Source organism: Homo sapiens, chromosome 5 (genome assembly GCF_000001405.40).
Source record: "Homo sapiens chromosome 5, GRCh38.p14 Primary Assembly".
NCBI lineage: Eukaryota > Metazoa > Chordata > Mammalia > Primates > Hominidae > Homo > Homo sapiens.
This window is the reverse complement of record NC_000005.10, coordinates 168,380,021-168,404,363: the sequence shown is the minus strand read 5'-3', so window position 1 is coordinate 168,404,363 and position 24,343 is coordinate 168,380,021. Positions and strand designations below refer to the sequence as shown.

Below are 24,343 nucleotides of genomic sequence, written 5' to 3'. Positions count from 1 at the left end.
GCCCCAGATTTAGTCTGAAAAATTAGTCTAAGGGAGCTTAGAAGATGCTCCGTGGCAAGGAGGCTCCCCACAGCCAGTGTCCGGGACAGGCAGTGGCCCTGCTGCAGATGGGCATAGGGGCTGCAGGGAGTTGTTGTTTGTTGGAGCATATCTGAGGGCTGGGGACTCTGGGGAGGGGGCTGTGCCCAGCTGTCCTCTGCCAACAGGGCAAGAAGGGCTTCGAATCCCTTGCAGGATGAGACAGAAGTGGTTTGTCTGCCAGGCCTCCAACAGCCTCTACCTGATTTCTTCAAGGGCCTTAGCAACCCGGCCTCTGGAATTTGGCTCCAGAGAGCGGCTCTGAGAGGGAACACTATTGGGATGAAGCTGGGTGGGGAGGGGGTCGGGGGAGAACAAAGGGTCACCATTATGCACACGGTGAATGAATCTTTTTTTTTTTAAGGGAAAGAAAAGTGTGTGTGTGTGTGTGTGTGTGTGTGTGTGTGTGTGTGTATGCATGTGTTTTAGGATTTCCAAATTCCTCAGCTGTCCTCTCTTCAGGCCTTGAGAGATTCACATACCCAGTAGCCACAGAGAGGTGGGGCAAAGGCTGACAGCAGCCAACTCCTGGTCCTGTCCAGACACCTCCTGCCTGGGCACGGCAGGGCTCGTGCTTTGTAGAGAGGTGCTGCACTGCCCTCCCCCGACAGGGGCGAGATGCCTGGTCTCCACTCTTCCCTATTTGCAAGGGAGCTGGCAAGTCAAAGTCCCAAGCTTTCGTCTTGATTTTTCTTTGCAATCTCCTCCAAGAGGCAACCTTTAATCCTCATCAACCTTTTCTCTCCTCTCTTTTTTAAACAGGTTGCTGACTATGAATTGAACTAATATGGATTCGTGGTCCAGAGTAACTCAGCTGCCCAAAGAAGCTTAGCTGGTGTCATCAGAATCATGACAGGTGACATAGCTGCTCTTCAAAAACAACAGAGCTGGCTGGGCACGGTGGCTCACACCTGTAATCCCAGCACTTTGGGAGGCCCAGGTGGGCAGATCACGAAGTCAGGAGATCGAGACCATCCTGGCTAACACAGTGAAACCCCATCTCTACTAAAAATACAAAAAATTAGCCGGGCATGGTGGCACGTGTCTGTAGTCCCATTTAGTCAGGAGGCTGAGGCAGGAGAATCGCTTGGACCTGGGAGGCGGAGGTTGCAGTGAACTGAGATTGCGCCACTGCACTCCAGCCTGGGTGACAGGGCAAGACTCTGTCGAAAGAAAAGAAAGAAAGAAAGAAAGAAAAGAAAGAAAAGAAAGAAAGAAAGAAAGAAAGAAAGAAAGAAAGAAAGAAAGAAAGAAAGAAAGAAAGAAAGAAAGAAAGAAAAAGAAACAACAGAGCTTTTGGCTGCTAAAGAGAAATTTTCTAATAGGGGAAATTACATGTGGTCAAAGTTATCCTGGAAATTCCTTAAGGATAAGTTGTACCTTTCTCCATGTTCTGCCGCAGGGTAGGCACAGAAGTAGAAGTGACTGGATAGCATCCCTGTTAGACTCTGAAAAAGGGGCCTTACATTTTCTGGGAATGAGGAGGGAGTTATCAGGGATGATGCTGGGAAGGGAGGTATTGAGCCATGAACTTCAAAATCCAGTAGTCCTGGGTTTCAGCCCTGTCACCTGCTAGCTGGGTGGCTTTGGGCATGTTTTCAACCCTTCCAGTGCCCTCATCTGTAATATATGGCAGGACAAAAACGTCTCTTAAAAGGGGGGTGAAGAGAATGAAATGAGGTGGCTGGCGTGAAGTGCTTCCCCAGCACACTGTCTAGCCCAGGGCAGACAAAGAGTTCATCCGAGTTCCCTTCCCAATACAAGCAGGCAACCAGCTAGAGGTCACCACCCCAGCCCACTCTCAAGGAGCTCTTCCCTCATGCCAGGCATTACCACACACTTGACACGGATTTTCCAATTCAATCTTTACAATCCCTAGTTTTTCAAATGAAGTCAAAGCTCACAGGGGTTAAGTCACTTTTCCAAGGACCCAGGGAACTGGGATTTGAACCCTGACCACCTGCCTCTCAAGACTACATTCCTGACCCTCTCTGCCAAGGTGTACATTAAAGGACGCATCTTCCTCCACACTGGACGCAGAGCCCAGCTTCCGGCTAAGGAGTGTGGGCGGCTGGAGCTGCCATGGAGTCTTATCTGTCCTGATATCAAACATGGGGCAGAGGGAGGGGAAGAAAGGAGGCTTGTCTTTGGGGTTTCAGCATCAGCTTACCAAACAACAAGAGTTTTCAATGCTGCTACAGGGTGACAAAGTGGTAAAACAGGTTTGCAGTGGCTCAGAGAATAATGGGAAGTGTTCTAACCAGAAGCTCTTGGACTGCAGTAGCCAGGAAGCAGAGAGAACCCATTCAGTAAAATGATGTGGGAGTGAGTAGCCCTTAAACTGTGTGCTCAGAAGCCATTTTGCTGCAAAGTGGAGGAATCAGGCTATTGCTTCAATAGGTCAAAAATAGGCATTTTCTAAGCTTATACTATTGCCCCAAACTGTCAATGGTGCTACTGAAGATTACCAAGAAGCATAAAGCATGGTTCCAGGCCTTAAAAAGTTCAGAATCCGGTTTGAGAGACAAGATTGGTATATGTATACACACATATATAAATAACACGTATATAACGTAGATGTAAACATACAGAAAGCCATAATTTATAATACTTTGTAAGACACAAAAATTACATACAATTTGTAATAATACAAAGCCATACTTTCTTACAGCATGTGTTGTGCTGAATTTGTGTGGCTCACCCCAGGCGGTGGGGACTTGTGGGGTGGGAAGACGTGAAAAAGAACCAACTGGTCCCTCAACGGATGACCACAGTTCCCTCAACTAATAGGGCTTGGAGATAGACAGCCAAAGGCTTGGGGCTATGGCCACAGAATGATGAGGGTGGATTTGAAATTCATGGAATGAGGAAAAGGTATAGCAGTCAGGGAGGGACAAAAAGCGAGAAACAGCCATCCATACAGGTGTGGCCTCCCTGGGAATGTAAGTGAGCTGCCCCCTTAGAAGGGAGAAATCTGCCGAGTGTCTTGCCTAGAGCTTCTAAGAGGGCTACCAGGTGACCTTCATAATGATTGTCCAGTGAGCCCATTGGATACACTGAACACAATTCAATGAATGAGTCTGTTACATGCTGTAGTTAATAACAACAATAAGCTAACATCTTTCTCTCTCCCTTTCTTAATTTCTTTCTCTCCTCCTCTCTCTCCTTCTTTTCTTTCTTTTTTTCCTTTTTTTCGAGACAGGGTCTCACTTTGTCAACCAGACTGCAGGGCTTGCTTTCTCTCTCTCTCCTTCTCTTTCTTCCTCTCTCCTTCCTTCCTTTCTTTTTTTCTTTCTTTCTTTGGAGAGAGGGTGTCACTTTGTCACCCAGACTGGAGGGCTTTTTCTCTTTCTCTCTCGTTCTTTTTCCTTTCCTTTCCTTCCCTCCCTCCCTCCCTTTCTTTCTTCTTCCCTCCCTTCTTTCCTTCCTCTCCTCCCCTCCCCTTCTCTCTCTCTCTCTCTCTCTCATTCTTTCAAGACAGGGTCTCACTTTGCCACTCAGACTGGAGTGCAGTGGTGCAATCAGCTCACTGCAACCTCCAACTCACAGGCTCAAGCAATCCTCTCACCTTGGCCTCCCAAAGTGCTGGGATTACAGGCCTGAGCCACTGTGCCCAGCCACAATAAGCTAACCTTTCTTGAGTACCTGCTAAGTGACTCAGTTTTCTCATCTATAAAATGGGGGTAGTTATATAACAAAGCATTCCTTACAGTGTTGCTATAGGATCAAAGGAACACACCTGCATGGAAACACTGCAGGGGTTCCCTGGCACAGAGTAACTGCTCAACAAAGCTTAGCTAATATCGTCACAATCACAACAGGTAACACAACCACTCTTAAGAAACAACGAAGCTACTGCGTGTTCTCACTTATAAGTGGGAGCTAAATGATGAGAATACATGGACACATAGAGGGGAAAAACACAGACTGAGGCCTCTGGGAGGGTGGAGGGTGAGAGGAGGGAGAGGATCAGGAAGAATAACTAATGGGTACTAGGCTTAATACCTGGGTGATGAAATAACCTGTACAACAAACCCCCATGACACAAGTTTACCTGTGTAACAAACCTGCACATGTACCCCGAACTTCAAATAAAAGTTAAAAAAAAGAAGAAGAAGAAGACACAACGGAGCTGTATTTTACCTGGCCACAGCTCAGCTTCTAAGGGTGAAAATTACATTTGGTGAAAGTTATCCTGGAAACTCCTTAAGTCACCCATAGAGCACAATGCATATGGCATTGTGCATACTTTTCTAGTAATTGGTTTTTGCTAGAAGAGATCATTAATCCTTCACTGAAGCACTTAGTGACTGCTTTTAGGGGATATGGAAAAAAGAAGTGTATTTTGTTTGTGTGCATATGAGACCCTACTGGATTGACTAGAGATGAGGCGTGTGCACAGAAATGCTGGGCAATACTTGTTTCTGTGACTGGATAGTAACACTCGGCTGAGTGGAACAAATCTTAATGGCTTCAGGAGTCCACGGGACAATGAGTGTTCTGTGGTCTGAAATGACTCCCCTTTCCTCTTTCCAAACCCCACCCTTGGGTGGCAGTATCTTCAGGAAATGCCAGTGGAACAGAACTTGAATTGAATGATGAGAGAGCCACATTTTGAGAAGGGAGGAAAGGGACTGAAGGAGAGAGAGACAGAGAGGACAGGAGGGGAACCAGGGTGGGGAGCAGCCCCCATGCTCTGGGATGCAGGGTGTACTTACTTCTTCAGGGTCTGAAAGCCACGCTCTTTGAACTGCAGCTCGTGCTGGAGGTGAACCATCTCTCTCTTCAGCTTGTTGACCTGGAGGGCAGCAGACCACACACAGGGCTGGGTCAGAGGCTGACACCAAGGTGCAGGCTGCCTTCTCCCTGGAAAGGGAACCCAGAGCCTCCCACTGCGCCTGCATAATGACTCAGGTCAGCACCCCTTGCGCCACACTGGTCAGAGCCCCCTCCTGTCACCGATGTTGGCCTTGGTCTCTGCAGATGCCCATTCAGTCAGCATCCCAGGCAGTGTTTCTGTAGGTCATTCCTAGCCAGTCCTTGCTCCAGGGAAACAGGTGGACAGGAGCTGACCTGGGATAGAGTGGGCCTTCCCACTTCCTCGCTGTGTGAACTCTCTCAAGCTGTCTTGCCATCCTGAGCCTCCCTTTCCTGTTCTGATGGATGAGGACAATGGCAATTTCCAGAGCCATGGATCACTTAAAGCTGGCAAAGGCTATGAGAGTGCTTCACGTGGAGGCAAGAGGCAACTTAGTAACTTTAGTGGCAAGACATGCCTTAGGAGCTAGACTCGGTCTGCTGGTTTGTGTGGCCTACACTGTATTATTCAACTTTTAAAATGAGTTGCTAATAATCAAATCTTCAGAAAGGTCACATAATAAACCTAGACACACAGTTCCTTTATGAAAACATCTGAAGATCTGGTAACACTGGGCCCACATTCCAGCATGGGCTGGACTAGAGTTCAAATGCAATTACCTTTAAGACTGGGCAGACCTCTCCTGGTTACACAGTCACCACAACTCTCTACTGCCTCACCCCCAGCCCACATCCCTCATTTATGTCTTCTTGCAGGCATCTGAGTTTGTGGAAATTGTTAAATTCTTTGAGTTTAACTAAACCACTATTCAAAATACTGACTTTGCCACGAGCAAGTAATTTCACTGCTGTGCCTCAGTTTCCATACTGGTAAAATGGAAATACTAATATTTATGCCCTAAGGTAATCATGAAGTAATTAAAATAAGATAATGCAGAATAATCAGTAGCTAGGAAGACAGTACACTATATTAGAAACTTTGGAGTAAGACTTGAATCTCTTGTAACCTTAGGCAAGTTTCTTAGCTCCCCTAAGCCTCTGTTTGCTCATCTTTAAAATGCAGGTGACAGCTTGGTGGTGGCTCACACCTGTAATCCTAGCACTTTGGGAAGCTGAGCAGGTGGATCACGAGGTCAGGAGATCGAGACCATCCTGGCTAACACAGTGAAACCCCGTCTCTACTAAAAATACAAAAAATTAGCCAGGTGTGGTGGCGGGCGCCTATAGTCCCAGCTACTTGGGAGGCTGAGGCAGGAGAATGCCGTGAACCCAGGAGGCAGAGCACGCAGTGAGCGCAGATCGTGCCACTGCACTCCAGCCTGGGTGACAGAGCGAGACTCTGTCTCAAAAAATAAAAATAAAAATAAATAAATAAATAAATAAAAATAATAAAATGCAGATGACGGTAGTTACTTCATAGACACGAGATAATACACATGAGATATTTCGCACTGTGCCTGGTACATGGTGACTGCTTGTGAAATGGTAGCTGCTACAACCATTACTATTACTGTGACTACCGCTTCTACTGTTATTATTTAGGACCTTGCTAGCACTGGCTGTCATAGCCTGGCTGGAGCATCTGTTCTGGTCTTGTGGGTGGGCTTGTGGCCTAAGACCTCAGTGGCCCCAATCACTAGCACATAGCATAGGTGAAGAGGTCCTACCCGGGATTTTGCAGTGGCAATTTCAGCTTTCAGGATCTCAGGGTCATACTTGGAGCTGGATGATGAACCAGAGACCACTGTAAGGAAAAAAGAAAAACAAGAATATCAGTAGAAGAAACAGATTTCAGCAAAGTTGGCTTATTGGCCATCTAAATAAACCTAGAAAGGGAAGGACTAAAAGTGAACAACCTAAATGTTCAACAAAGGGGGATTTGTTACATAAAGATGGTACACGCGCAAACGGGGACTACGCAACTTAAAATGAGGATGAAGAATATTGAATGACAAGGGAAAATGTTGAAACTCATTATGTGAAAGCAAGTTTACAAAAAAAGTGTAAAGAATAATTTAAATTTGGGGCCAGGCACAGTGGCTGAAGCTTATAATCCCAGCCCTTTGGGAGGCTGAGGCAGGGGGATCACCTGAAATCAGGAGTTTAAGACCAGCCTGGCCAACATGGGGAAATCCCGCCTCTGCTAAAAATACAAAAATTAGCTGGGCATGGTGGTGGGCGCCTGTAGTCCCAGCTAGTCAGGAGACTGAGGCATGAGAATTGCTTGAACCTGAGAGGCAGAGGTTGCAGTGAGCCGAAATCGCGCCATCACATTCCAGCCTGGGTGACAGAGCGAGACTCCATCTCAAAAAAAAAAAAAGAATAATTTAAATTTGGAAAATATAGTTTCCAAATATACACACACATATGCATTTTAAGAAGACTGAAAAAAATACCAAAGAGAACACTGATATCTAGAGAGTTAGATGGTAAATGATATTATCATCTTTATATTTTTATCTTTTCTTTTTTTAAAAACAATAAACATATGCTTTACAATCAGAAAAAAATAAAAGTATTGTTGATTGTACTTTATAATATTAATGTACATTCAAAAAGGAAAATAAATTATCCATATCTTACCACCCTAATACAATTATCGTTTTCCTAGGTTGCCTTCCAGTATATATCCACGGTTCTATCACGTAGTTGTAATCTTACTGTATTTTAAAAATAGTATTTACTAATGTCTTGAAAAAGGATTTTAAGGCTTATGAAAGTGAATACTACACAGTAAAATACATTTAAACTAAGGAAAACTAGACAAAGAGAAAATAAGGATAAGGAAACAAACTGGCGACAAGCTCTGAGCCTCATAACTGGTAATGTGAGGGGGAAATAGGACCAGATATAAGATTTGTGGTGTCCTTAAGGTAAACACAACCCCACTGTTCAGAAAAGAACAGTTATTCTTGGTCGGGAGGCCAGAGAAGTATTTCTCCTGTGAGTCCTTAATCACACTGTAGGAACAATTTCATCATCTCCCCTGCCTACCTACTACCATCTGAACACTCTTTCCTGTTCACATGTAGCCAAATCACCTGCTGAGATCTGGGTTTTTCTTTTCTTTTCTTTTTTATTTTTTGAGACGAAGTCTTACTCTATTGCCCAGGCTGCAGTGCAGTGGCACAGTCTTGGCTCACTACAACCTCTGCCTCCTGGGTTCAAGCTGTTCTCCTGTCTCAGCCTCCTGAGTAGCTGGGATTACAGGTACGCTCCACCATGCCCGGATAATTTTGTATTTTTAGCAGAGACAAAGTTTCACCATATTGACCAGGCTGGTCTTGAACTCCTGACTGCAGGTGATCTGCCTGCCTGGGCCTCCCAAAGTGCTGGGATTACAGGCGTGAGCCACCGCACCTGGCTATCATCTGAACACTCTTTAATGTTCACATGTAGCCAGATCACCTGCTGAGATCTGGGTTTTTCTGAGGATAGAGAAGCTTATTTGGTGATTGCTGGCAATTGTCAGTGTCTGGAGGTAGGCATGACAGTCATGAGGGGAATGCTACTGTTTGGCTTTGTTTAAAAATATTTTAATAGGCCTTTTGGTTATGCATAAGGCATTAAAATGTAATACTTGGAAGTTTGGGGGATGAGAAAACTGCTCTGCATAATAACATAAAAGATATTTGGCACCACAAGAAGTGTTGCATTTCTGCTGAATTTACAATGATAATGATGATGGAGAAAAAGAAGACCGAGGTTTACCAGAAGAGATGAGTGGGGACAACACTTGGGGTGGCAAGGGCCTTGTAGCCTTTGTCTCAAGCATGGAACAGGGAATCCATGTACAGAGATGTTTTATTGCCAATTTAAAGTTTTCATCTCCTGGTGTCTAATTCCTTTGGTCTTTGCTAGACTTGGGGATTTCAGGGATAGACCTGGTTGGATATTTAGCTGGAGGTATCACCTTAAGCATACAGTGTGGGGAGGTTATAATATTATAATGTTATAATAAAATGACCTTGAACAAAATGATGTTATTTGAGGACCTGCTGTATTTCCCAAATAGGTCCTTTCAACAAAATATTAAGACAGTTAACACCATTTCTCACTCACTGATCAACAGTAATACAAGGTGAAAGAAGAGAGGAGTCGTCAGTGTGGCAATAACCTGGGAAGACACACAGAAACGTCCTCAAGGGGTGTGGGGCGGAGCGGGGGACGTCTGTTCTAGGAGCACCCTGTCCTGCCAACCACCCTGTTCATCAGGCTGTGCCTCTGGACATGGGTCTGTACTGTGGGGCAATGTTGAGGAGACTGTGGCAGCAGCGTGGAAGAGTCTGTAAAAATGGCAAGACCTGACTCAGACAGGGAGAGGTTGGCTGTGTAGACCAGTCACGCCAGGGCTGACTTGAGGCATGCATCGTGTTCCTTGGGCATGCCCAGAAATCCTGGAGACAAAAAGATGCCAAAAAGAAGAGATTCTCACCAATTAGGCCACCAGGAGCTTTAATTCTTATACCCTGGAGTATCACTGTGAAGTGCACAATTTTTACCTAAAGCCGCTGACACAAGATGTAGCCTGCTACTTATCCTTTTGTAAGTAAATGTTTGATTGAGGTAAAAAATACATACATAGAAGTGCACACATCATGTATGTACAGCCTGAGGAATTTTCACAAAAGAAACACGCTCAAGCAATCAGCACTGTAATCAAGAAAACAGGTCATCAGCCTCTCCTTTGTGTCTGCATCCCTTCACTATCCTCTACTACGAGAACTTATTTTTTTTTCAATTGAGATGAGTCTCCCTCTGTTGCCCAGGCTGGAATGCAGTGGCGTGAACTTGGCTCACTGCCACCTCTACCTCCAGGGTTTAAGCGATTCTCCTGCCTCAGCCTCCCGAGTAGCTGGGATTACAGGCACCTGCCACCACGCCCAGCTAACTTTTGTATTTTTAGTAGAGATGGAGTTTCACCATGTTGACCAGGCTGGTCTCAAACTCCTGACCTCAAGTGGTCCACCCGCCTCGGCCCCCCAAGTGCTGGGATTACAGGCGTGAGCCACCACGCCCGGCCCCGCTACAAGAACTTTATATCCAACAGGACTTTAAATACTATCTTGCCCCAAAGTTTAATAGTTCTTAATTTTTAGTTTTTATTAAAGTTATATATGAACACAGTTTAACAGTCCAACATAGTTTGAGGTTTGCTATAAAAAAGAGCATTCCACAACCCCTATCCCCATAACTCACAACCTAAAAGAAAATCATTTTCAATTTCTTGGGTGGCTACCTCTATGTGTCTAGTTATATGCATGCATTACTGCTTCTTGATCTTTTCTGTTTTCGGCATTACTTATTTACTTACCTCTCAGGAGGGTGGGGACTTAGCCTCCCTTCCTTCCCTTCCCCAGCCCCTACAGCATGCACTTGAACCTCTCCCATCTCCCCGTCATCCTAAAAGCAATAGCATACTTTTGGTGAAAGCGATGTTCAGTGTTTGCATTATTTTTACTCTGCAAACACTATTCAGGGTGCAATCAGCTAGCTGACTTTGCTTACTTTTACTTTTCAGCACTTTTTTTCCCCTTGAGTTAATTATTGTCATTTTTACGTTTGCTTAGTTTCTACAAACTTACCACTAATTCAACCTCACATTCTGCTGGTTATCTAAATCTCCTCTCATAGAGTCCAGACCAATGTGAATCTGGTGAGTTTTCTATTTTGGGATCTGTCCTGCCAGGGCTTCTGCCCTGCTTCAGTGTGAGCGAGCTGCTCTCTGTGTTCGGCTGGCTTCCTGAGATCCGCCTTTGTGTTCCTCTGTGTGTCTCCTCACCTCTCTGTATACCGCGTCTTCCTTTTCATGGTCTACCCACCTCATTTTGGTAGAACATCATCTCCAGTAGCTTCTTGAGAAAGAAACCATGAAGGAAATGAGCTTTCTAAAATCTCACACGTCTGAAAATAGCCTTATTCGGCCCTACACTTGATTAAAGGTAGTTTTGCTGGATATAGAATTCTAGGTCAGAAATAATTTTCCTTAAATCCCTGAGGGCATTGCACCATGGTCTTTTAGGTTTCCAGTGCTATTGGTGAGAAGTCTGGAGCTATTCTGAGTCCTGATCATTTCTGTGTGACCTGATTTTTTTCTCTCTGAAAGCTTTTAGGATCTTGAATTGTCCCAGTGTTTGAAGTTCCACAGTGAGATATCTTGGTGTGAGCTGACTTTCATCCACTGTGTTGGACACTCAGTGAACCCTTTCAGTCTAAAAATTCTCCTCCTTCAGTTCTGGGAAATGTTTCTGAATTATTTCAGCGATGCTTTTCTCCTCTGTTTCCTCTGTTCTATCTGGAACATATTTTCCTCAGATAGTAGATTTCCTGTCCTTGTAGTCTATTTTTTTTTCCTCTTATTTTCAATCTTGTATTTTTGCTCTGATTTTTAGAAGGTTTCCTCCATTTTATTTTCCAGTCTTCCTTTGGAGTTTTCATTTCTACTCTCATATTTTAATTTCCATGAGCTCTTTTTTATTCTCTGAAGGTTCCTTTTTAAACAATGTAGTACCGTGTTCTTGTTTCCTGACCATATAGCTTCTCTTAACGGTCTCTTCTTCATGCATACTCCTTGTTTCCTCCAAGCCCTCCCTTCACCACGTGTTGGTTTGAGTCTCTATTTTCTCTGTTAGAGGCTTTCCTCGGATATCTGGAATCTTGGTTTTCTGCTCATATTTAAGGATGGGAGCCCAAAATGCTGACTAGAGTGTGGTTTGTGGACTGTGAGTTGCACAGTACGTTATTTGTTTTCTATCTTTAAAATTTATTTTATTATTTAAGAGACAGGTGTCTGTTGCCCAGGCTGAAGTGCAATGTACACAATCATAGCTCACTGTAACCTTGAACTCCTGGACTCAGGGAATCCTCCTGCCTCAGCCTACTGAATAGCTGGGACTACAGGTGCTTGCCACCACACTCGGATAATTTTCTTCTTTAAATTTTTTGTAGAGTTGGGGTCTTACTATGTTGCCCAGGCTGGTCTTAAACTCTTGGCTTCAAGTGATCCTCCCATCTCGGCCTCTCAAAGTGCTGGTATTACAGGCATGAGCGCCTGGCCACAGCATATGATTTGGCTGGACTTGATTTGGTTTCATCCAGGAATCCTCAATGTCAGTGTCTTTCCAGCTTTTCTCTTTATATCTCTTCCCTGGTCAGATTTCCAGTAGAGTTCTCTACTGTCCAGCCTAGAGGGTAATGACCTGGCACTGTTCTGGGCACCAAGTGGTATATGAGGGCTAAGGTCTCAAAACCCTTCACTTACTCGTGCTTTCAGGATAGTACACTCTGGCTCTGAATTTGCTTGTGTCCTAGAGTCCAGAGACTCTATTTTACCCTCTCCAAAAAATAAACTTCCAGTCATTTGCCAGACTGAAGATGGTGGTTGCCTGACTGTATCGATTTAAGGAAAAGATCTGATGGTCTAATTGTCTTAGAAACAACCTTTACCCATTCCTCTTTGAGACCCTCTTCCCTTCAGTCTTACTTGCAGAAATAGCTGCTGCCACCAACATCTACAGTTTTTGCAAGTGCCCTATAGAACAGTGTTGTGAGCCTTCCTCACTATCAGCCCATTTTCTCTTTTCTCAGGTCTGCTACGTAGGTTGCCACCTGTCTGTCTGCTTTCCAGCTTCCAAATTTTATTGCTGTTCTTTCTTCTCCAATTTTCCCTAATCATATATATATATATATATATATATATATATATATGCCTTAAAAATATATTTTATCTGATACTCCTAGTTTTGCAGTGAGTAAAATCAAGTGAGTGATTCAACTGGCATTTTTTAGTTTTTTTGTTTTTTTTTTTTTGAGACGGAGTGTTGCTCTGTTGCCCAGGCTGGAGTGAAGTGGCTGGATCTCAGCTCGCTGAAAGCTCCACCTCCTGGGTTCACACTATTCTCCTGCCTCAGCCTCCCGAGTAGCTGGGACTACAGGCACCCACCACCACGCCCAGCTACTTTTTTGTACTTTTAGTAGAGATGGAGTTTACTGTGTTAGCCAGGATGGTCTCGATCTCCTGACCTCGTGATCTGCCTGCCTCGGCCTCCCGAAGTGCTGGGATTACAGGCGTGAGCCACCGCGCCTGGTCCATTTTTTAGTTTTTAGAGATGAGATCTTGCAATGTTGCCTGGACTGGACTCCTGGGCTCAAGCGATCCTCCCACTTCAGCCTCCTGAGTAACTGGAACTACATGTATATGCCACCAAGCCTGGCTTCAACTGGCATTTTTAACTAGAAAGCCCTCACTGATTTATTTTCCAAATGGGAAATCAAGGCCTAGGGAGGGGAAAAATATGATAAGGTCCCAAAGAACCCAGCTCTCTTGAGTTCTCACCTTTTAGAGGGTGGAGGAACCAAGTGTAGCTGAAGAGCCTTAGCATTTGACTGACTGACGTGGGTTAAATTAAGAAAATTGATTTTGAGATCAGATATATCTGGTTACAAAGGCTACCTTGCCACTCTTTACCAGTGTGCCTTTGGGGAAGCCACTTCCTCTTTGGGGGCCTCAGTTCCCTTGTCTGTAGAATGGGAACAACACTGTCTTAGAGGACTGTGTGTGTGATTCAGGAGGGAGATTACTTAGAGTGCCTAACATATTGCCCTCCAGGCACACAACAGGTGCATATTAAATGTTAGTTCCCTTCTTCCCCATGGAGCTAGAGATTACACCAGCGAGTCGACAGCAAAGTCTCCACCCCCAAGGCAGGGCCCCGTCTGTGTCTGGGACCCAGAGCAGCCAAGGCCAGGTGGCAAAACCCTCACAAGCCCTGGCAAGCCATCTGAGTTAGAGAACAGGCGTGTGACTTCATCCATCTGTCATGCCAAGAGCTTGACTTGGAAGGCAAACCTGGCTTGTAAAACTTGAAGACAGAGTCATGATGAGGCTTGGGTCACACCTTGTTTAACTGGGATGCTTGGGCTGGGGGAATCCCAGTTTCTGTGTGGTTTGAATCTCAGATCCAGTTGCCTGAAATGACCCTAGTCCCTTCAGATAGAAGATATTTAACAATGAAAATGGTGGTGGTGCCTCTGAGGCCAGTGGAGCTCTTGGGAGTGTCTGGAAGTCATATCACAAGGCTGAGGAACTGTATTGTTTACTTCCTTCCTTTGATCATGTATTTATTCTTATTGGTTCCAGAGATCTGTAAAAAAAACCTCTTTTTCATTTACAATGCGAATGAACTAATAATAATAATTATTTACTGAGAGCTTAAGAATATGAAAAGTACAATTCCAAGGACTTTACATTTGTTAACTAATTTAGACCCCATAACACTCCCATGAAGATGATACTATGATTAGATTGATTTTATAGATGAAGAAAACTGAGACACAGAAGTGGCATAACTTGTGCAAGGTTACAACAACTAGTAATCTGCATATCCTGGATTTGAACCAAAAAAGTCTGGCTCCAGGGTCTATAGTCTCAAAATATTATGTATTTCCTATCAATAGGACTATTTATTGAGCCATTAATATGTTCTAAGGAAACAGTACCAAGTGTCTTACCTAGACCAGTGGTTTGGGCAGTTTTATCCCCTATGACACTTATGACAAAATCTAGAGACATTTTTCGTTATCACAACTTGGGTGGGGGTGATACTGGCAGCTAGTGGGTACAGAACAAGGATGCTGCTAAACACCCTAAAATACACAGCTCTCACAAAGAAGAGTTACCCAGACTGAAATGTTAATGGTGCTGAGGTTAAGAAACTCTGACATGGTCCCATGAGATGAAGGTACTATTAACATTTCTGCCCAACTGGTTCAGTCGGTAGAGAATGAGACTCTTAATCTCAGGTCATAGATTCATGTCACATGTTGGGTGCCAAGAATTTAAAAATTAACAAAAAAAAAAAAAAAAAAAAACAAAAATTCAATAGTTAAACATAAAGATTCTGAGACTTAAAGAGGGAGTACGGTCCCCTAGAGAACACCCAGGTTGTCTGATGTCAGAGTCCAGCTGCCACCTCCCACTACAGTGCTTCTTTTTTTTCTTTCTTTTTTTTTTTTTTTGAGATGGAGTCTTGCTCTGTCTCCCAAGCTGGAGTGCAGTGGTGCTATCTCGGCTCACTGCAACCTCCGTCTCCTGGGTTCAAGCAAGCGATTCTCCTGCCTCAGCCTCCCGAGTAGCTGGGACTACAGGCATGCGCCACCACGCCCAGCTAATTTTTGTATTTTTCATAGAGACAGGGTTTCACCATGTTGGCTGGGATGGTCTCGATCTCCTGACCTCGTGATCCACCTGCCTCAGCCTCCCAAAGTGCTGGGATTACAGAAGTGAGTCACCACACCTGGCCTCCTACTATAGTGCTTCTCATGTGAATGTTTCATTCTCATAGTGCCCAACTTTAGTTTTTAATTTTGGAAACTTCTTATCTATAGAAAATTTGAAAGAATAATGTAATGAATCTCAATATATCCTTCTCTTAGAGCCATGAATTTTAAATATTTTCCCATGCTTCTTCTTGCCATCCCTCTTCCCACCCCAGTTCTTTCTTTCTCTCATTAGGGTGGTTCACAATAAGCCCTCTACTAATCATGATTAGAAATGGTGGCAAAATCTGGACCATATTCAAAGCCATCAATGTGTCATCGACAATTATTTATTTGTTTTTGTTTTTTGTTTTTTTTTTTGAGATGGAGTCTCGCTCTGTCACCCAGGCTGGAGTACAGTGGTGCAATCTTGGCTCACTGCAACCTCCGCCTCCCAGGTTCAGGCAATTCTCCTGCCTCAGCCTCCTGAGTAGCTGGGATTACAGGCACGTGCCACCACGCCCAGCTAATTTTTGTATTTTTAGAAGAGAGAAGATTTTACCATGTTGGCCAGGCTGGTCTCAAACTCCTGACCTCAATTGATCCACCTACCTCGGCCTCCCAAATTGCTGGGATTACAGGTGTGAGCCACTGTGCCCGACTGAGTTTTTCCTATTTTCTTTCCTTTCCTTTTTTTCTTGGACCTTTTTTGGAATAAGCTGCAGATATGTTGCCACATGCATCTTCATAAAATCTATGTAGACATTCTCCTACATATTCATAACTCCATTATCACAACTCAGGAAAGTCTCCAATTGTCTGAGAATGTCTTTTATGGCTGCTTTTCCCCCATTTCAGGCTCTAATTCAAGGTACAAACATTTCATTTGGTGGTGTGCCTCTTTAGGCTTTAAAAAAAAAACCTAGTCTAATTGTCTTATAGAATAATCCATATTATGGATTTGTCTGGCTGTGCTCTTGATTAGATTCAGATGAAATATTCTTGTGAGGGATCCTTCATGATATCTTTATTGCATCACGTCAGAAGGCATTGATATCACCTGGTCTCATTATTGGTCATGCTAATTTTACCACTACGTAAAGTGGTGGCTGCCCATCTCTCCAATGTAAAAGTACATCTTTCTGAAATTAGTGAGTGATTTGTAGGGTAATTCTCATTACCTGACATGTGATTATGGGTCCATGTAAATATCCTGTCCCCCAAAATACAAAGGTTTGTTTTTGTTTTTATATACACCTGACACTTTTTCAAACTGTGGGACTTTAGAGAGAGAGAGAGAGAAATCACTTTGCCCCTTTAAACCTGAGGTTCAACAGGGACAATAACATCTCCCTTCCAGGACCGTCTTAACAAAAATGGTACGGACTGAATTGTGTCTCTCCCAAATAAATATAATACATTGATGTCCTAATCCCCAAAGTGATAGTATTTGAAGATGAGGCTTTGGGGAAATAGTCAGGCTTAAATGAGGTCTTGAGGGTAGGCTCCTCACGATGGGATTAGTGCCCTAATAGAAAGAGGCACTAGAGAAGGCAGTTGTCTGCAAGCCGGGAAGACAGCCCTCACCAGAACTCGACCATGCTAGTACCCGAATCTCAGACGTCCAGGCTCTAGAACTGTAAGAAGATAAATGTGTAACGTTTAAGCCACCCAATCTATGGTATTTTATTATGGCAGCTCGAGTCGACTAAGACAGATTAAGTGCTAAAACCTTCTAAAAGTCTCCAGAACATTACTTGACACAGAATAGCTAATGAATGTAACACAGTTCTTTTCTATAACCTCTGAGATCCTGAGGGTTTTCCTGAGCTGCTAAGGAAAAAGGGAGGGCTGGGACAGTAAGTACCCTGGCAAGGTTTGTCCTGTCTTGGTAGCAGAAAGAACTTCTCAAAGTAAGGGCTTCACACTAGGGGAGAGTTCAATGGCCCAACCCAGCCATGGCCACCCTGACACCATGCCCTGATGCTAGTCCCTGTGGCCTGGCCCACACTGAAAATACTGTGGGGACAACAGAATGGATTTGCAAGTTACCACTATCTCTCACCAGCTGTAAGACCCTGGGCACATTGTTGATCCTAAGCCTCAGTTTCCTAATCTGTAAAAGGGTGATATTAATTGTTCTTGCTCACAGAACTGTTATGAGAATTAACAGAAATAGCATATTCAGACTATAGCAGAGTGTCTGGCATGAAACAGAGACTCAATAAATACAGGAACAATTTGGTTATTAGAAACAGTGAGGCTTGGCATGGTGGCTCACACCTGTAATCCCAGCACTTTGGGAGGCTGAGGCACGTGGATCACCTGAGGTCAGGAGTTCAAGAACAGCCTGGCCAACATCGGGAAACCCTGTCTTTACTAAAAATACAAAACTTAGCTGGACGTGGTGGCTCACGCTTGTAATCTCAACTGAGGCAGGAGAATTGCTGGAACCCGGGAGGTGGAGGTTACAGTGAGCCAAGATTGTGCCACTGCACTCCAGCTTGGGCAACAGAGCGAGGGCACGGTGGCTCATGCCTGTAATCCCAGCACTTTGGGAGGCTGAGGCAGGCGCATCACGAGGACAGGAGATCGAGATCATCCTGGCTAACACAGTGAAACCCCGTCTCTACTAAAAATACAAAAAAAAATTAGCTGGGCGTGGTGGCGGGCGCCTGTAGTCCCAGCTACTCTGGAGGCTGAGGCAGGAGAATGGCATGAACCCAGGAGGCGGAGCTTGCAGCGAGCAGAGATCGCGCCACTGCACTCCAGCCTGGGCAACAGAGCGAGACTCCGTCTCAAAAGAAAAAAAAGAAAAAGAAAAAAAAAAAAAGAACAAGGGGATTTTGGCATGCTTGCTCTCCTCCTTTGGGTACCAGGGATAGGATAGGAGCCCCACTCTGACCAACTTTATGGTCTGGTGGAGGAAATACTGATAACATACAAGCAGATGTATTGTGATACGTGATATGAAGGAAATAAACAGACAGCCATGGCCAAGACTAGAGTTGAGGAAGAGAGGCTTCTGATAGAGTTGTCCGAGCAGGCCTCTCAGAGGTGATGACCTGAAGGATGAGACTGGAAGACTGAGAAGGACTTAGCCTTGCAAATGGATGCGTGACAAAGCATTCTAGGAAGGGGACCGGCACATACTAAGGCACTGAGGTGGAAAATTACAGGGTGGGGTAGGGAAACAGAAAGGGGGGCTGGGGGCTCAGTGCATCTGGAGCCTAGTGAGGAGGGCATGAGATGAGGCAAGAGTGGCTGGCAGGGGCCTGACCACGGAGGGCTGTATAGGCCATGGAAAGAGTGAGGGGAAGCCACTGAAGGGCATTTGATTGTTTTGAAATTGCGGTAAATATATTCAACATAAAATTTACCATTTTAACTATTTATTAAGTGAATTGTTCAGTAGCATTAAGTACATTTACACTGTTGTGAACATACTACCATCCACCTCTAGAAATTTTCTTCTTCCCAAACTGAAACTCTGTACTCGTTAACTAAGAATTCCCCATTCCCAATTCCCCTAGTCCCTGAAAGCTTTTAAATGAGGAGATATGTAATCCGACTGGCATTCTGAGATGATTACAAATGAAATAAAATGAAACGCAAATGGCAAATGAATCACTGCAAGGCACAGGTAGGAGCAGGAAGAGCAGTAAACAAGATGGTGGTTTGGACAAAGAGTAGAGGTGAAGAGAAATGGGCAGACTTGAGAAGCAATATTGGCAGAACTCAGTGTGGCCATTCTCTGTTGGTGTCGGTGGGGGTGGTGGTAGTGGGAGGTACTCACAGCTGACCTGGGAGCCCAGCTTATGCTCCCAGACGGCATGCAGTTGCTGGTACTCCTGCTGTGCAAGCTCCAGGCGCTGCTGCTTCACCTGGTAGATCTCCTTTTGTGCACTCAGAGCCTCCTGGGCCACCACCAGGTAATCCTTCAGCATATGTTCCTGCTCCCGCCGCCATTGTACTCGAGGATCCTCAATCTGAGTGGTTTCTGGAACAGACCCCAGAGATTCTAGGTCAGCATCTCACAAATATCTGTTGGGCTGGTGGCCTGTGGTATCCACTAGCAGAAAACAAAAAGCAAAATGCATAGACAAATCACAATAAATGTAAGTGGGGCAAACTCATTTACTAAATGACAGTGATTCTCCATTTGGAGTAGTCAAACAAATAATAAGCCAGGGGGTTGGGTGTGGTGGCTCACGCCTGTAATCCCAGCACATTGGGAGGCTGAGGCAGGTGGATCACTTGAGGTCAAGGAGCTTGAGACCAGCCTGGCCAACATGGTAAAACTCCGTCTCTACTAAAAATACAAAAATTAGCCAGTATGGTGGCAGGCACCTGTAATCCCAGCTACTTGGGAGGCTAAGGCAGGGGAATTGCTTGAACCCAGGAGGGGGAGGTTGCAGCAAGCTGAGATCGTGCCACTGCACTCCAGCCTGGATGACATAATGAGACTCTGTCTGAAAAAAAAAAAAAAAAAAAAAAGAATAAACCAGGATCAATTTCCAAACCCAATGTCAATCTCTGAGAACGGCCTGAATAAGGATCAGGTTTGAGTACTAATCTAGACAGAGAGGCTCAAGGACATTAGAGATGCTCAAGGTAATCTCCTTTGGTGAAGACTAAAGGAAAGAAAAATAACTAATGTCTCAGAGGATGTGGAGAAATAGGTACCCTATAGCCAGCTGGAAATGTGAATTAGAACAGCCTTACTAGAAGACTATCTGACAATGCAAATTAAGAGCCTTAAAATGTTAATACCCTTTGACCAATAATTCTCCCTATAGTAATTCATTATAAAAAGTAATTTAAATTCAGTCATATATTTGTACAAAACCATAATAATAATATATTATGAAGTAGCAAGCACATGTCATTGATTCTATGATAAGTGCTGTTCTAAGAACTTTACATATGTTCACTTCTTAAATCCTTACACGAACCTTATAGATTCTATTACTATCCCCATTATACCAATGAGAAAACTGAGACGTAGAGAGGTTAAGTAACTTGCTCAAAGTCACACAGAAATAAGTGTTCAAATATGTATGCTATATTCACAGAATGCACTATTATAAAGATAACACCTTTGAAGAAAAATTAATAACATGGAAAGGTACTTATAATATGCAGGTCATAAAACCGAATAAATAACTATCTATCAAAATCAATATGTACATTCTCAAAAAGATGAGAAAATAGGAAAATATCAACAACCAACTAGGTGGCAGGATATTTTAGGATATTTTATTTTTTACAAAATTATGTGTACAAAAAACATATACACTAATGATCTGAAAAAAAAGCAGCTGACGAGATATGGAAGAGGTTAAAATAATGTCAAAGAATCAATGCCCATGGACTATTAACTCCTCAGTCACCCCCAGTTGTTGGGTGGTGTTAGGGGTGATCAACAAGCCAGAAATTGTAAAATCAGGGCAATGTGGTGAATCCAGCCTCCAGATAGGTATTGCTTCTGAATTGATTACTGGTATGTAAAAAATGGAGAGATATCTTCATTAAAATCCTGTTTTATGGCTTTTCTTGATCATTCAGAAGTTCTGGCCACCTTGGGTTCACAACTGGTCAGAAATCCCAGCACCCCATCTGTCAAAACCTGGTCTGCTTCATTCATTTATGTCATATGCCTAGCCCGGGGAACACTGGAGTTTATGCCTCCCAATCTAGGCCCTTTAGCTCTCATTCCTCCTAAACAGGTCCAATGAGCATCTCCAGTGAAATAAAGATCAAAGAAGCAGCAGGGCCAAGTTCTCATTCCTGCCAATAATCGCTGTGTTACAACAGAAAGGCTGTTTAACGTCTCTGAATCTACTTTTGTATCTCTTAAAGGGGGTAATGAACCCTGCATCACTACTGCCCAGGAAACAGGAAACTAAAGCACTTGTGCCAGGTAAAGGAAACAAATGATAGTGAAAGTAAAACCCAAACTATTGCCTAGGATCAGTTTTCATTGTTGTTGTTTTCTTTTTCTTTTTTCTTTTCTTTTTTTTTTTTTGTTTTTGAGATGGAGTCTTGCTCTGTCTCCCAGGCTGGAGTGCAGTGGCGTGATCTTGGCTCACTGCAACCTCTGCCTCCTGGGTTCCAGTAATTATCCCTGCCTCAGCCTCCCAAGTAGCTGGGATTACAGGCGCCTGCCACTACGCCCAGCTAATTTTTGTATTTTTAGTAGAGACAGGGTTTTACCATGTTAACCAGGCTAGTCTTGAACTCCTGACCTCAGGTGACCTACCTGCCTCGGCCTCCCAAAGTGGTGGGATTACAGGCGTGAGGCACTGTGCCCAGCCTAGGACCAATTTTTGAATCGTCTGTGAATAGCAATTCTTCAAGCTTTTCCTCCTCCTTTTTCTGAGAAAAAAAGTAAGGTCTGAAGACTGCTTACAGTGGCTACAAAAAACTGCCCCTCATGAGGAAAGCTTTCCATCCCTTCAAACCAAACAAGAGGCAGGAACAAATGCAAAAATAATACAAAGACAAAACAAAAAAACAAGGCGGAGATGGAATTTGTAAAACTGGGCTACAGAACAGCTGCTGTGGGTTCCCATCTCCCATCAGCAGCTGTGGATTCCCTTGGCGTTCAGGAATCGTGGGTCCCCCTGAGGGATCTGCCCTACACCTCCAGCTGGCACAGCCCACAGAAAAAAGCAGCTCAGCCTATCTTGAGCAGGCTGGCAATGTTTCTTAAAGTTTGCAACTTTTAGAAGATCTGATTTTTCACCACAAAATAATGAAAAGTACAAAAAAGAAAAATCCCACAATTCCACCATGACAAGTTTGTGAAATAAGAGAGTTTCCATCTCTCCAATCCCATTGCCCAGAGGTAACTGTTGTTGAGTCTCACACAGATACTGCCTTCTGATTATACATGAATTTTTGTTTACACATACACGCCTATATATACAAGGTTACTTTAATGCAACATGGACCATGCCATTTATATTGGTCTGTGACTTGTTTTCATCTCCAAATGATATAGCATGCTCATTTTTGCCTGTAGGTGCACCATCTTTTAAACACCTGTACAGTGTTCCACGCTATGGTATTTGGGTTTATTTAACCAGACCTCGATGGGAAATATTTGAATTGTTTTCAGTTCTTTTGCTACTACATTCAATGCTGCAGTAAGGGTTCTTAAAAACATATGTCTATGAATTTGTGCTATTAATTCTGTGGGATAGGTTTCTTAAAGAGAAACTACTAGATCAGAGGGTACACACACTTACAATTTTAATAGATATTACCAAATTACCTTCCAAAGGCAGGTAATTTCTGTTCTCAAAAACAGCATACATGAGTGCCTCCCCCCACATTCTCAGTGAAATTGCTTTTTTTTTTTTCTTTTTAAAAGTCAGTGCCTCATCCAGTGATTCTGGGTCTTTGCTGCATATTAGAATTAGCAGAGAAGCTTCAAAAAAAAAAAAAAAGCCTGAACCCCACCCCACCCCCCGAAGAACACTTAAATTAGAATTTCCAGGAGTGGGGCTCAGGTATTGACAGTTTTTAAAGCTTCTCTGGGTGACTCTGGTGCAGATATAGCTGAGAGCCCCTGGTTGAACATTAGAATCACCCGGGAGAATTTTTTAAAAATTTCAATCCTACTCCAGATCAATCAAATCCCAATCTCTGGGAGTGAGAATAAAGCAATGATGATTTACAAAGCTCCCCAAATAATTCCAGTGTGCCACCCAAGGTGAGAACCGGTGTTTAAGAGATGACAAACACATGGGCCGATTGGTCACTGAGGCTGGCAGGTGCGATGCGGGCTCCAGGTGGAATCGCCTGCCCAGGTGCTGGTTGAAATGCTGGGCCCGTGTCCAGTTCCCTAAGCGACACCTAGGTGGACCCTCCCACAGTGTTCTGGATTTCATCTGGAACGGGCACCTTCCCTTTGGCCTTAGACCTCAGCACTGCTCTGTAAAACTATAAAGGTATATGAGACCCTTACCTGAAGGTCTGGCCAAGCCAGGTGGCTTGGCGACCATTTTTTGTGGCTCATGGTCTCTTTTGTAAACCAATAAGAATAGATGGGTGCACGAACAGACAAAAACAACACACAAACTCACACCAGAACTGGTTCTCAAACTGGTTGCACACTGGAATCACCCGAGAGATTTCCACTGAATTGATCTACAGTGTGAAGTGGGCATCAATTTGTTACATTTCTGAGAGTATTTCCTTTACCCCAATGATCCCCTGGACGCTCCCAGGCAATTTCCTCTACTCACCCCCTCTCCCAGTTTGCCTGTTTTAGAACTTCACATGCATGGACTCACACAGTTATTTGCTCTTAGGGCCTTGGTTCTTTCACTAAGCAGAAGGTTTTTGAGACTCATTCCTATTGCTGTATCTGTTGTACATTTCTTATTATTGCTGAATAATATTCTATTGTATGAATACATCACATTGTCTTTGTGATAAATTGTTAGTTTGCTTCCAGTTAGGGATTATTATGATGAATACTCTAAGTCTTCGTGTGGGCATGTTTTCACTTCTCTTGGACAAAAATACCAGGGGTAGAATTGCTGGATTATACTTCGCAAGTATATGTCGAATTTCATAAGAAACTGGCAAACTTTTCCAAACTGGTTGTACCATTTTACATTCTCACCAGCAGTGTATCAGAATTCTAGTTCTTCCACATCCTTGCTAGCAGTTGGTATTGTTATTTTTTTCCTCATTTTAGTCATTATAGTGGGTATGTAATGATACCTCGTTGGAATTTTATTTTTTTATTTTTTTGAGATGGGGGTCTCACTATGCTGTCCAGGCTGGTCTTCAACTCCTGGGCTAAAGTGATCCTCCAGCCTCAGGCTCCCAAGTAGCTGGGACTACTTGGCATGTACCACCATGCCCCAGCTGATTCTGTATTTTTATTTTTGTAGAGATGAGGTCTCACTGTGTTGCCCTGTGCTGCCTTATGTTTTGCTATGGCTGGTCGTGAACTCCCGGGCTCAAGTGACCCTCCACCTCAGCACCCTGAAGTGCTGGGATTACAGGCATGAGCGACTGTGCCAGCTGCTTCTTACTGTTAAGTTGTAGGACGTCTTTACATACTTGGAATATGGTTCTTTGTTAGAGATATGTATTGCAATATTGTCTCCTTATCTGTGGCTTGTCTTTTCAGTTTCTTAATAATGTCTTTTGAGGAACAAAGATTTTA

The 24,343-nt window shown here is 43.8% G+C and overlaps 1 protein-coding gene across 18 annotated transcripts in view; it reads right to left on the bottom strand.

Annotated features, from left to right (window-relative positions):
* Positions 1-24,343, bottom strand: part of WWC1 (WW and C2 domain containing 1) — a 180,659-nt gene that overhangs the window by 67,940 nt on the left and 88,376 nt on the right. For 17 of the 18 annotated variants that reach the window (XM_011534485.2, XM_011534486.2, XM_011534488.2 and 14 more), the window contains 3 exons: positions 18,950-19,153; positions 6,564-6,640; positions 4,797-4,876 (listed from right to left, as the gene is read on the bottom strand). In XM_011534485.2, the coding sequence (XP_011532787.1) occupies positions 4,797-4,876; positions 6,564-6,640; positions 18,950-19,153 (361 nt within the window). Of the gene's footprint in view, positions 1-4,796; positions 4,877-6,563; positions 6,641-18,949; positions 19,226-24,343 lie in introns of all 18 variants that reach the window. The other variant, XM_047417020.1, reaches the window with a different exon arrangement.